Source organism: Homo sapiens, chromosome 1 (assembly GCF_000001405.40).
Source record: "Homo sapiens chromosome 1, GRCh38.p14 Primary Assembly".
In the NCBI taxonomy this organism is placed as follows: Eukaryota; Metazoa; Chordata; class Mammalia; order Primates; family Hominidae; genus Homo; species Homo sapiens.
The window spans coordinates 43,204,582-43,217,290 of NC_000001.11; the positions used below are offsets into that span (position 1 = coordinate 43,204,582).

Genomic DNA, 12,709 nt, shown 5'->3' on the forward strand with positions numbered 1-12,709 from the left:
TGTCTCATATCACTACTCAGATCTATTTTTCATCTTTTCTTTTAGCCTGGCTACCTAGGGTTGCCCATGAGTTGCCTAAGCTGCTTATTAGTTACAGATGGTGCATAAACCCCCTTAGACAATTAGGTTTTTACCTTTTACTACCAGATTTATGTGTGGCTTGGAAAATGCTATCACAGTTCAGAGAGTGATGGCTTTTGCATCATGTTCAGCCAGAGACTGGTAGTTTGGATGACCCCTTTCTGATTGTTCATAAGAGGGTACAGCCTTGGGCATGCACAGAGTCTTCCAGGCTGCGAGGGATGAATATGATTTCATTTTTAAGCCTGGCTTCCTAGGAGATGCCCCTGGGTCGGGAGAGCTTAATGTTCCGCATTTGGTAGACTGTTGTGTTTGGTAGGCCCGTTGTGCCAGTGAGACTCTGCCCTATGTTAACGGGTCTTTGTGTAGCTTAGGAGATGCTTTCAAGTTTTCCTCATATCCCACTCTGACTGCACCTGAATCAGTACAGTCTAACACATACACAAGACCTTCCAGCCTCTAGAGTTGTCTGTTATCCCTGAAGGACTCTTCTTCTCTGTCCCTTTCCCTTGTTCTATCAAAATTCCACTCCTCTATATCATTTTGCTTACATCCTGGAGTTATCAGCCTCCTCTTAATCACTTTCCACCAAGATCTCCACTGTTTTAGACAATGCCCATAGGCATGGACTTTTCCATGTTCTATTCCAAATAAAGTCAGCCCCCTCAAGCAGAGCTGTAGAGCTCCCTGTCTTAGCACCTGACTTTCCCACAGACAGAACCTTTGCTCCACTGCACCAGAGCTGGGGCGGGGACCTGCTTTTCCAGGAGTAACATCCTCACTTCTGTGAGTGACACTTGAGGTGTGTGCGTGTGTGTGCACATGCGTGTGTATGTGTGTGTGCACGTATGTAAGCCCCTGGTCTTTTTGGCTTGCCCTTCATGGCTTGGAACTTTCACTCTATAAGCAAACTGGGTCAGGAATCATTAGGGCACAGTTATTCTCAGTATGCTGAGCTTAGAGTGGAGTTTCTTCCAACAAGTGACAATGGGCCGAGGGGAAGAGAGTCTGAGCCCTCTTGGCCACACCTGCTTGGAATAGAGCTTCTGCAACATGGGGCTGGGGTAAGAATAAGAAATCCCAGCAGTTTCCCTTTCCAGACCGAAACCATAGCCCAAGATCAGGAGCTATGGGGAGAGGGAGTCGCTTATCTTGGCCACATCTGCCCAGAGTGCACAGCAGTGAAGTTTCTGGAGCTGAGGCCGTAACAGAGCGAGTCATGGCTTAAATGCAGCAGACTCTGTTCTTACTGGGATTGAGTAGATTTTCTTGAATAAATGTTTTTCCATTTGCTGTATTCCCTGAGGACAATTTCCAGAGACATTTTATTTATTTTATTTTAGACAGGGTCTCACTCTGTCACTGAGGCCAGAGGGCAGAGGTACACTCATAGCTCACTGCAGCCTCAGCCTCCCCAGTTCAAACCATCTTCCTGCCTCAGGCACATGCCACCATGCCCAGCTTATTATTTTTATTTTTATAAAGACAGGGTTTCACTATGTTACCCAGGCTATTCTCAAACTGCTGGGCTCAAGTGATCCTTCCACCTCAGCCTCCCAAAGTGTTGGGACTACAGATGTGATCCACTGCACCCAGCCTTCTAAAGACTTTAAATGATTATTTTTTATCATATTTACCAGTTAACCTACATTGTCAGAGAGAAGGTCAAGTTGAGGTTCTTACCGTGCCATTCCAGAAGTCCACTCTCTCTGTGCTATTTTTGCAAGTTTCTGTGAATACATAATTATTTCAAAAATGTTTTGAAAAAACAGCAATAATTGGTTGGTTCTAGCCTTAAGAAACCTGTAGGATTCAGTCTTTACGTTCATAAAGTGAAAAAGAAATGAGAGTGTTTCATCTTCAGTAATTTGCAAGCGTCATAGAAAACAGAATGTGAACGTTCACAAGAAGCTATGTTTTGTGCTAACAGAAGGGCCTACAGCAGGAAAGGACGTTCTGCTCAGTCTAGTGGAGCACCTAAGGAGTTTGCACCCTTTTCTGTGTTAGGGTGTAAGTGTGTGTACACTCTTCACTGGATATGTCTTCCTCTCCTGCAGATTCGCTCAATTGTGTGGAATGCAGATGATAGCAAACTGATTTCTGGTGGCACAGATGGTGCTGTGTATGAATGGAATCTGTCCACAGGAAAGAGAGAGACAGAATGCGTGCTCAAGTCTTGCAGCTACAACTGTGTTACTGTCTCCCCCGATGCCAAAATTATCTTTGCTGTTGGATCAGACCACACCCTCAAGGAGATTGCAGATTCCTTGGTGAGTCTGCCCCTGCCCCGCCTCTGGGCTGGTGCACGGATCTGCAGGGACAGCTTCCCGTGCTTACAGCACAAAGTATGCACGGAATGAGGGCCTCTGCATACAGGGCCCCTTCTTCCCAAGATAACATCAGGCTCCTCATTCCTTTTAGATTAGCTCAGTTATCGTCACTTCCTGAATTTCCTGCCTAGTTTCCTTCCTGACTGGGTGAAATTGTAAATTGCGGGGCTCTTTTTCATTTCCCTTTTACTTGCTGTCTGTAACTTCTCTCCCACCTTCCAGGCATGGAGGTCATGTCATCTCTAAACTGTACTCTTACCCTTGGTCTGCACTTACATTCCTGGGGTAAAAACCTAACTACGGTATGCACTGAGTAACACCAATGATGGACCACATGGACTGTAAGATTGTAATGCCATAAGATTATAATGCCAAATGTTCACTGTACCTTTTCTGTTTAGATACACAGATATTTTCCATTGCGTCACAGTTGCCTACAGTATTCAGCATAGTCACATGCTGTTCAGGTTTGTAGCCTCGGAGCAGTAGGCTCTACCACATAGCCTAGGTGTATAGTAGGCTGTCGCAGCTAGGTTTGTGTAAATACACTCCGTGATGTTTGCGTGACAAAATAGCCTAACCATGTATCCCATATCAAGCGATGCATGACTGTGCAGTGAGCTGCTCTCACCTAGGCTTGCCACTGTATTCTTTTGAAATCCCCAAACTCTGAAACCGTACAGTTACATTGGGCTCCAAATAGTGAAGGGAAAAGAGAGGAGCTCAGCAAGGATGCATCATACAAACATGGGCTGTGCGCTCCTCCAGCTGGTTCCTCCCACTTTTCCTGTGACTGGTGCCTGGGAAAGTGCGTAGATACCACGGCAGCAAGCTAGCCCAAGGCAGATCTCCCGTGGCTGGAACACAGCTGACAGTATGGTGACTCTCCTGTGTACCCCCGAGTAGCCTGGTCCTAATTCAATGGCAGCTATCAGTGCTGTGCCAGAATAAAGCCCCTTTAGGGCAGGGCCATCTTTTGCTCCTCTTGGCAGCCCTACTAGCTGGCACATTGTGTGGTGCACAGCATTCAATAAATGTGTGTGTAGGCATGAAAAAATGCTCATCATCACTGGCCATCAGAGAAATGCAAATCAAAACCACAGTGAGGTACCATCTCACACCAGTTAGAATGGCAATCATTAAAAAGTCAGGAAACAACAGGTGCTGGAGAGGATGTGGAGAAATAGGAATAATTTTACACTGTTGGTGGGACTGTAAACTAGTTCAACCATTGTGGAAGACAGTGTGGTGATTCCTCAAGGATCTAGAACTAGAAATACCATTTGACCCAGCCATCCCATTACTGAGTATATACCCAAAGGATTATAAATTATGCTGCTATAAAGACACATGCACACGTATGTTTATTGTGGCACTATTCACAATAGCAAAGACTTGGAACCAACCCAAATCAATGATAGACTGGATTAAGAAAATGTGGCGCATATACACCATGGAATACTATGCAGCCATAAAAAAGGATGAGTTCATGTCCTTTGTAGGGACGTGGATGAAGCTGGAAACCATCATTCTCAGCAAACTATCGCAAGGACAGAAAACGAAACACCGCATATTCTCACTCATAGGTGGGCATTGAACAATGAGAGCACTTGGACACAGGGTGGGGAACACCACACAACGGGGCCTGTCGTGGGATGGGGGGAACAGGGAGGGATAGCATTAGGAGATATATCTAATGTAAATGACGAGTTAATGGGTGCAGCACACCAACATGGCACATGTATACATATGTAACAAACCTGCACGTTGTGCACATGTACCCTAGAACTTAAAGTATAACAATAATAATAATAAAAGAAAAAAAAAATATGTGTGTAGGTGGGTGGGTGAATGAGTGCATGAATGAGTGAGGGAATGAAGGGGCGCTCTGATAGTACAGTAGTCCCACCTTACCCACAGTTTCAGTTACCTGTGGTCAACCAAGGTCCAAAAACAGGTGAGTACCATACTGTGAGTAAGATATTTTGAGAGAGAGAAATCACATTCACACAGCTTTTATACAGTATTCTTATAACCGTTCTATTTTATTATTAGGTATTATTTATCTCTTACTGGACCTAATTTATAAATTAAACCATATCATAGTTATGTACGTATAGGAGAAAACCATAGTATATATAGGGTTCAGTACTATCTGTGGTTTCAGGCACCACTGGGGATCTTGGAACATATCCCTCAAGGATAAGGGGAGACTAATGTATGGTTTTGCTTATGTAATGAGCATTAATAAATGCTTGCTGAATGCATTTATGAGCAATAGCCCATTCTCATTTTGAAATGCACCCATGCATAGCAGTCAAAGCAGAGACTGGAGCCCACCCAGGTACATGAGTTGAAGCAAATGCCTTTCACACAGATGGTCCGTCATCCATAGACTAGGGATAACAGTAACTGCCTCAGAGGGTTTCGTGAGGATTGAATGAGTTGCAACATGGAGAAGGCACAGAACAGTGCTTGGCACATAGTAAGTGCTATATGAATATCTCTCTCTATTAGTATTATTCCTAACTCATGAACCTGGTTATTTACCAGCAACACAACAAGGAATATCTAGTTTGCGCCTTTTTTTGTGCTAGGCACTATACCGGATGCCAAAAGGGGATAGAAAAAGCATTTTTTAAAGACAAGCCCCTAGGGATCTGTTAGAGCAGAGGGCGAGAGAGTATGGCACTGGGACGTGGGGGCCACAGCTCGACCCCTCACACTGAGCAGAGCTGCCTGTGTCTCAGATCCTTCGAGAGATATCGGCGTTTGATGTCACCTACACCGCCATTGTCATCTCGCATTCTGGACGCATGATGTTTGTGGGCACCTCGGTGGGAACCATTCGTGCCATGAAGTACCCTCTGCCTCTGCAGAAGGAATTCAATGAGTACCAGGCCCATGCCGGTCCTATCACCAAGGTGAGCAGGGCCCTCTCCCCAGGAACCCAGTCCCACACCTGCCTGCTACGTGCCTTGTTCATCCCTTCAACCTCCCAATGTCTTTTCTCTCTCCTTCTTCTCTCTTATTTATTCATCCATCATTCATTGAATCACCATCTATTGACTATGAATATACTCTTTGTTTAAACTACTTCCAGGAATTTAGCCTAGGAAATCATCAGAGATACACCTAAAAATGTATGTACAACGTTTTCACCATAATATTATGCATAATAAGGGGCCGTTTGGTGGATGCCGTAGCTGCCGTGAGTGTGGGCTGCACTTGACCACAGCTGCCTCCTCCTCCAGAGAATGCCCCAGACTGAAAGGAGCCATAGCCCTGAAGATTGGCCCCTACCTCTCCCTGAGGGTACAAAAGGCCACCCCAGGGGCAATACCATGAGTACACATTTGTAAATTGTCCTTCCATTCACCCTTCTCATAAAGTAGTATCTATGTTCAACAGTCAAAATGTGGAAGCAACCAAGCATCCATCGACAGACGAATGCATAAGCAAAAGATGGTATATCTATACAATGGAACAATACCCTGCCTAAAAAGGAAGGGAATTCTGCAATGTGCTACCACATGGATGAACCTTGAGGATGTTATGCTAAATTAAATAAGGCCAACCACAAAAAGATAAGTACAGTGTGATTCCACTTTTAGGAGATACTTGGAGCAGTCAGAATCACAAAGACAGAGTGGTGGTTGGCAGGGGCTGCAGGAAGGGGGAATGAGGAATGATTGTTTCATAGGTATAGAGTTTTGGTTTTACAAGACAAAAGGATTATGGGGGTAGTTGGTGGCAATGGCTGCACAACATTACAAATGTATTTAATAACATGAACTGTACACTTGAAAATGGTTAAGATAGCAAATTTTACAGAATATGTATTTTACGACAATTTTAAAAATGAAATAAAAAAGAATTATCTTGCACGCGAAATGGTTGCCAAGAAATCATAGCCAATAGTAAATTAAAAGTTATTCATAGTGCAAAAAAAAAAAAAGTAATGTCTATACCTACACTGGACCCCCCAAAAAACAGGCACTGGGAAGGTATGTGTCTCTTCTTCCTTACTCTCTCTTTCTGCAGATTGAATGACACAGCACCTGAGGTTTTGAGTTATATCCCAAACTCCTTAGTGGCTTACCTGCAACACTAGCTGTATTAAGAAAAGGTTTCTCATTATAAAACAGAACATTTCTGTACCAAGCCTGGGCCTTGGGTCCAAAGTAAATTACTACAACATATTCCACCTCTTCCCTTCAGATCTGCTAAGTTTTGTGGATAACATATTTATTTTTCTGATTATAGAAGCAATGCATATTTATTTTAAAAATAAAAATCCTTGCCAGGCGCAGTGGCTCACGCCTGTAATCCTAGCACTTTGGAAGCCCAAGGCGGGCAGATCATGAGGTCAGGAGATAGAGACCATCCTGGCTAACACGGTGAAACCCTGTCTCTACTAAAAATACAAAAAATTAGCCGGGCGTGGTGGCACGTACCTGTAGTCCCAGCTACTCGGGAGACTGAGGCAGGAGAATCGCTTGAACCTGGGAGGCGGAGGTTTCAGTGAGCCGAGATCGCACCACTACACTCCAGCCTGGGCAACAGAGCAAGATTCTGTCTCCAAAAAAAAAAAAAAAAATCCTCATAATGGTATCATCATTTCTTTGATGCATTTCCTTCTACATTTCCATGTGTGTGTGTTTTAAATAAAATTAAGATCATACTGTGAGGCCAGTCTCGTGGCCTGCTAGTTTTTAACTTCACACTACTGTAAGCGTTTGTCCATACAATTAAATATTCCTCAGAAGCATGATTTTAGTAGCTACACAAATATCCTATCCTATGATGGACTGTAACTTACTATTCTCTTGCAATTAGGCATTTAAATTATCTTATGATCTATAGTGAACAGCCCAGTTTACAAATTTATATGTGCATCTCTGATTCTCTCCTAAGACTAAATTCCTAGAGAGAGAATTCCTGAATTCAAGAGTATTGCTATTCTCAAGATTCTTGACACATACTGCTGATTGTGAGAAGACATTTTTCACAGTTAATCCTTTTGTTTTAACTTTTTATCTTGAAATACTTATAGGTTTAGAGGAAATTTTAAAGATGGCACAGAGTTCCCGTGTATCCCTCAATCAGTTTCCCCCAGTAATTACATCTTCTAGAACTGTAGCAAAATATCAAACCAGAAAATTGACATGGTCCACAGTGTATGTAGTTCTGAATTATTTCTCACATGTACAGTCTGTGTAACCACCACTACAATCACACTATAGAACCGTTCCATCCCCACAAAGATCTCCATCTGCCCTTCAGAGTCCTACCACTCCTCCCGACTATCATCCCGAATCCCTGCCTACCACTAATTTGTTCTTATTTCCATAACTTTTGTCATTTTGAGAACTGTATATGGAATTATACTGTATGTGGCCTTCTGAAAATGGCTTTTTTATTGATACGTAGTATTTGTACATATTATGAAGTACCTGTGATGTTTTGTTACAGTCATAGAGCATGTAATGATCAGGTCAGGATATTTAGGGTTTCCATCCATCTCGCGTATTTATGATTTCTGTGTGTTGGGAGCATTTCAAGTCCTGTCTTCTAGCAATTTAAAAATATACAATATATTGTTGTTAACTATAGTCACCTTACTCTGCTATCAAACATTAGAACTTATTTCTTCTTTGACCTGGCACGTGGGTCATGCCTGTGATCCCAACACTTTGGGAGGCTGAGGCAGCCAGATCACTTGAGGTCAGGAGTTTGAGACCAGCCTGGCCAACATGATGAAACCCCCGTCTCTACTAAAAATACAAAAATTAGCCAGGCATGGTGGTGCACGCCTGTAATCCCAGCTACTCGAGAGGCTGAGGCAGGAGAATTGCTTGAACCTGAGAAGCAGAGATTTCAGTGAGCTGGGAGATCGTGCCACTGCACTCTTAGCCTGGGCAACATAGCAGACTCTATCTCAAAAAAAAAAAAAAAGAAAGAAAGAAAGAAAAGAAAACTGATTTCTTCTATCTAATGTTTGTATCTGTTAGCCAATCTCTCTTTAGCACCCCACCAACCCATACACTCTTCCCTAGTATCTATCATGCCACTCTCTACTTCCATGAGGTCAACTTTTTTTTCTTTTTTTTGAGATAGAGTCTCACTCTGTCGCCCAGGCTTGAGTGCAATGGCATGATCTCCGCTCACTGCAACCACCGCCTCCTGGGTTCAAGCGATTCTTCCACCTCAGCCTCCCAAGTAGCTGGGATTACAGGCACATGCCATCATGCCCGACTAGGGTCAACATTTTTTAGCTCTCACATATGAATGAGAACACACAATATTTGTTTTTCTGTACCTGACATATTTCACTTAACTTCACGACCTCCAGTTCCATCCATGTTGCTGCAAAAACATGATTTCATTCATTTTTTACGGCCAAATAGTATTCCAGTGGGTATATATACCACATTTTCTTTATTCATTCATCCACTGATGGACACTTAGGTTGATTCCATATCTTTACTATTGGTGGTACAATAAATATGGGGGGGGCGGTGGAGCGCAGGTATCCTTTCAATCTGCTGATTTCCTTTCCTTTAGAAAAGTATCCAGTAATGAGATTGCAGGATTGTATGGTAGTTCTATTTTTAGTTTTTTTGAGAAGTCTACATACTGTTTTCCATAGTGGTTGTACTAATTTACCTTCCCACCAACAGTGTATAAGAGTTCTCTCTTCTCCACATTCTTGCCAGAATCTGTTATTTGTTGTCTTTTTGATAATACCTACTCTAATTGGGGTAAGATGGTATCTCATGGTGGTTTTGATTTGCATTTCCCTGATGATTAGTGATGTTGAGCATTTTTTCATATACCTGTTGGCCATTTGTATGTCTTCTTTTGAGAAATGTCTATTCATGTCCTTAGCCCACTTTTTTTTTTTTTTTGAGATAGAGTTTTGCTCTTGTCACCCAGGATGGAGTGCAATGGTTCAATCTCGGCTCACTGCAACCTCCCCCTCCTGGGTTCAAGAGATTCTCCTGCCTCAGCCTCCCGAGTAGCTGGGATTACCGTGCCTGCCACCACGCCCAGCTAATTTTTGTATTTTTAGTACGGATGAGGTTTCACCATGTTGTCCAGGCCGGTCTCAAACTCCTGACCTCAGGTGATCCACCCTCCTCAGCCTCCCAATGTGCTGGGATTACAGGTGTAAGCCACCACGCCCGCCCCTTAGCCCACTTTTTAATGAGATTTTTAGATTTTTTTGTTTGTTTAATGTTGAATTGTTTGAGTTCTTTGGTATTCTGGATATTGGTCTTTTGTCAGAGCAATAGTTTGCAAATATTTTCTCCCATTCGACAGGTCGTCTCTTCAGTCTGTTGATTGTTTCCTTTGCTGTGCAGAAGCTTTTTAGCTTAATGTCCTGATTGTGGCTTTTTCCACTCAGCTAAATCTTCAAATCCATCCAAGTTGTGTTGTGTATCAATCATAGTTTATTCCCTTTTATTTCTGAGTAGTATTCCATGAAAAACAAATCACAGTTTGTATAGCCATTCACCTATTGTAGGATATTTTTAATTTTTTCCAGTTTTCAGCTATTATAAATAAAGCTGCTGTGACCAATCATATACAGGCTTTTGTGTGGAAATAAGTTTTCATTTCTCTGGGATAAATGCCCAGGAGTATAATTGCTGAATCATATGGTAAGTGTATATTCAGGTTTGTTTTTTTTTAAACTGCCAAGCTATTTTCCAGAGTGGCTGTACCATTTTACATTCTTACCAAGAATGTATGAGACCCAGTTTCTCTGCATCATTGCCAGCACTTGGTGTTGTCACTGTTTTTTATTTTAGCTGTTCTAATGGGTGTGTAGTGATATCTCATCATGGTCCTAATTTTGCATTTTCCTAAATGGCTAATAATGCGGAGTATCTCTTCATGTGCTTACTTGCCATCTGTGTATTTTCCCTGGTGAAATGTCTCCTTATCTTTTGTCTACTTTCTGATTGGATTGTTTGGCTTTTTTACTGTTGAGTTTTGAGAGTTTCTTGTTCGTTCTAGATAATAGCTGACTCTTCAGATTCCAAATCCACAGAGAATGTAGACGTAACCTTACTTCTTCTATTCATTAACAGATGCCTGTGAGGGCTCCTCTCTCATTCTTACCTGGGATCAAGTTTACCTCCCTGTGAGGCTGTGCCCAGGATTGCATGGGGGGAAGCCTTGCGCAACAGCTGGCTCAGCCCTGGTCATCTGTGGCCTTGAAAGCTTCCTGGCCATGACCCTTTTTCTCTTCAGATGTTGCTTACCTTTGATGATCAGTTCCTGCTGACTGCTGCTGAGGATGGCTGCCTGTTCACCTGGAAGGTCTTTGATAAGGATGGCCGGGGAATCAAGCGAGAGAGGGAGGTGGGCTTTGCCGAAGAGGTGCTTGTGACTAAAACAGACATGGAAGAAAAGGTAAGAACTGGATCTAATGAAGAGGGATATGGAATTACTTACCAGACTGCATTCAGATGCAGGTCCAGCACTGGGGCCCTCTACAGCCTGGCTACACCCTATGCCCAGTGCAGACCCCCACGGCTCCCTGCACATCTGCTGTCCCCACAACCAAGCTCTCCTCCTCATTGCCACTGTCCACCCGACTCTGCCTGTCTTTCTGCCATGTGATCATCTTGACTTACACTGTGCTTTGCTTTTATTCTGTGATCTGGTTTTCTCTTCCTACTCTTTGAAACCAAGAATAATGAAACATACAGTTCTCTTATGACCAACAGTTCCTAGCACATGCTGGGCACATGGAAGACAATCAATAAATATTTACAAAAGTAAAGTATGTTCTCATTTAAATCTCACAACATCTCTATGAAGAAGATACTGTCATTCTCCCCATGTTTCAAAAAACAAGTTAGGAGAGCTTGAGGGATGTGTTCAAAGTCAGTGTGCTAATAATTAATAGGACTAGAGTTCTAATCCAGATTTAATCCAGAGCCCCCTCCCTTAATCACTATACCAAAGGGACATCCCTTCCTTCCTGTTGATGCAGTAAACATTCCATAAAGGTGTGTTTTGCAGAGATATGAGTGCATAGCTCTGTGTTACGCTTCCTAAGGGAGAAGCTGAATGGATGATAAACACACAAGGCTCATGGAGGATCGCAAAGCTACACAGTCATTGCTGTTTGTCCAGAATCTTAAGTGTGTTTATTGAACACCTACCATTTGCTAGGCACTGGGGATGCACATGTGAAAAGACAGTTGTGGGCCCTGTGACATGACCAGGAAGCTTACAGTCAAGTGAGGGATAGAAACAAGTAAAGCCATCAGAGCAGCAATACAACACTGCCACAAAGCACGGTGACAAGCCCCTGGCATTCGCTGGAGATCCCTTCCAGAGCTCCCTAGAATTTTCTGCAGGAAAAGCAAAGAGGGAGAAGAGGATGAGGGAGGGGCCCGTGAGAGTGGGGGCCTGACCTGCTGCAGAAGGGACATTTCCTTTTCTCTGTTATCTTTTCTGTTCTTCCCAGAGGGTAGGGGAAGAGGCCAAATAGGAGACAGCAGGCTGAACCAAAGGCCTGAAGGTGCCCAAGCTGGCTTCTGACCACAGCCCCCAGATGGGCCTGACAGTACCGCTGCCAGGCTGGAAATGACTTGTGCATATACCGCTCCTTCTTGAAACTCCCTTCTGTCTTACCATCCTTGTGACCACACTCTGTTCCCTGAAAACCTTTCTGACTCCTCCTCCCCGCTTCTGTCCTGGCTCTTCCTCCGCCTGTCCCTTAAAAAGCATGTTCCCAGAATTCCCAACTCTCTTTATATTCCATTATAGTCTAAGTAACTCTCAGGCCATGATTTACCTTCTCTGCCTAGGATTTACAGAGGGGTCTGCTGTGTACCTGACACTATACTAAGGTCTGGGATTACAGAGATAAAAGACATAAAGCATCCTTTAGCTGATAGCCTGGGAAGAGGGCAGAGTATCACAAAGAAGGGAATTAAACGTGCAGTGGAATGAAGTGTCATGAAAGAACGATGCTGTGGGAGCACAGGGGAAGGAACTTGGCTCAGGCCAGGTGGTGCCAGAGGACATGAGCCTTGCTCAGATCCTTCCAGGACAAATGGACAAGGGCCAGTGAGCAATGAGCAGTGAGTGTGTGCAGAGGGATGAGGGAGTGGTGGTCTGCAAAGCTGCTCCTAGTTAGGTTGTGCCAGAGAGAAGGGCTGAAGATGAAGCTGGAGAGAAACAGGTCAGGGGGGCCTTTTACACCCTGCATTAGGCTGGACATTGTTCATAAGGACCATTCATAAATTTAAGCTGGGGAATGACTTAACATG

At 43.5% G+C, this 12,709-nt stretch overlaps 1 protein-coding gene and 1 long non-coding RNA gene across 22 annotated transcripts in view, besides 1 other annotated feature; one reads left to right on the top strand and one right to left on the bottom strand.

Moving 5' to 3' along the window:
- Positions 1–12,709, top strand: part of CFAP57 (cilia and flagella associated protein 57) — an 82,029-nt gene that overhangs the window by 32,252 nt on the left and 37,068 nt on the right. For 12 of the 17 annotated variants that reach the window (XM_011540796.2, NM_001195831.3, XM_011540793.1 and 9 more), the window contains 3 exons: positions 2,139–2,351; positions 5,162–5,335; positions 10,674–10,835. In XM_011540796.2, coding sequence (XP_011539098.1) covers positions 2,139–2,351; positions 5,162–5,335; positions 10,674–10,835 — 549 coding nt within the window. Of the gene's footprint in view, positions 1–2,138; positions 2,352–5,161; positions 6,298–10,673; positions 10,836–12,709 lie in introns of those variants that run through there. The other 5 variants (NM_152498.3, NM_001167965.1, XM_047447334.1 and 2 more) reach the window with 4 other exon arrangements.
- LOC105378685 (uncharacterized) overlaps positions 1–12,709 on the bottom strand; it is a 68,913-nt gene that overhangs the window by 22,900 nt on the left and 33,304 nt on the right. For 4 of the 5 annotated variants that reach the window (XR_007066041.1, XR_007066039.1, XR_007066040.1 and 1 more), the window contains exons 2-4: positions 10,685–10,812; positions 6,869–6,986; positions 1,765–1,811 (exon numbers count right to left, since the gene is read on the bottom strand). This is a non-coding gene — a long non-coding RNA (uncharacterized LOC105378685). Of the gene's footprint in view, positions 1–1,764; positions 1,812–6,868; positions 6,991–10,684; positions 10,813–12,709 lie in introns of all 5 variants that reach the window. The other variant, XR_007066038.1, reaches the window with a different exon arrangement.
- Positions 1,612–2,811: an enhancer, noted in NCBI's record as "P300/CBP strongly-dependent group 1 enhancer chr1:43671864-43673063 (GRCh37/hg19 assembly coordinates)". NCBI's record gives its function as "activates an origin of replication core promoter dependent on BRD2, BRD4, P300/CBP, MED14 and CDK7 cofactors, with strong dependence on P300/CBP, by STARR-seq in HCT116 cells {active_cell/tissue: HCT116}" and the evidence as "EXISTENCE:reporter gene assay evidence [ECO:0000049][PMID:35650434]".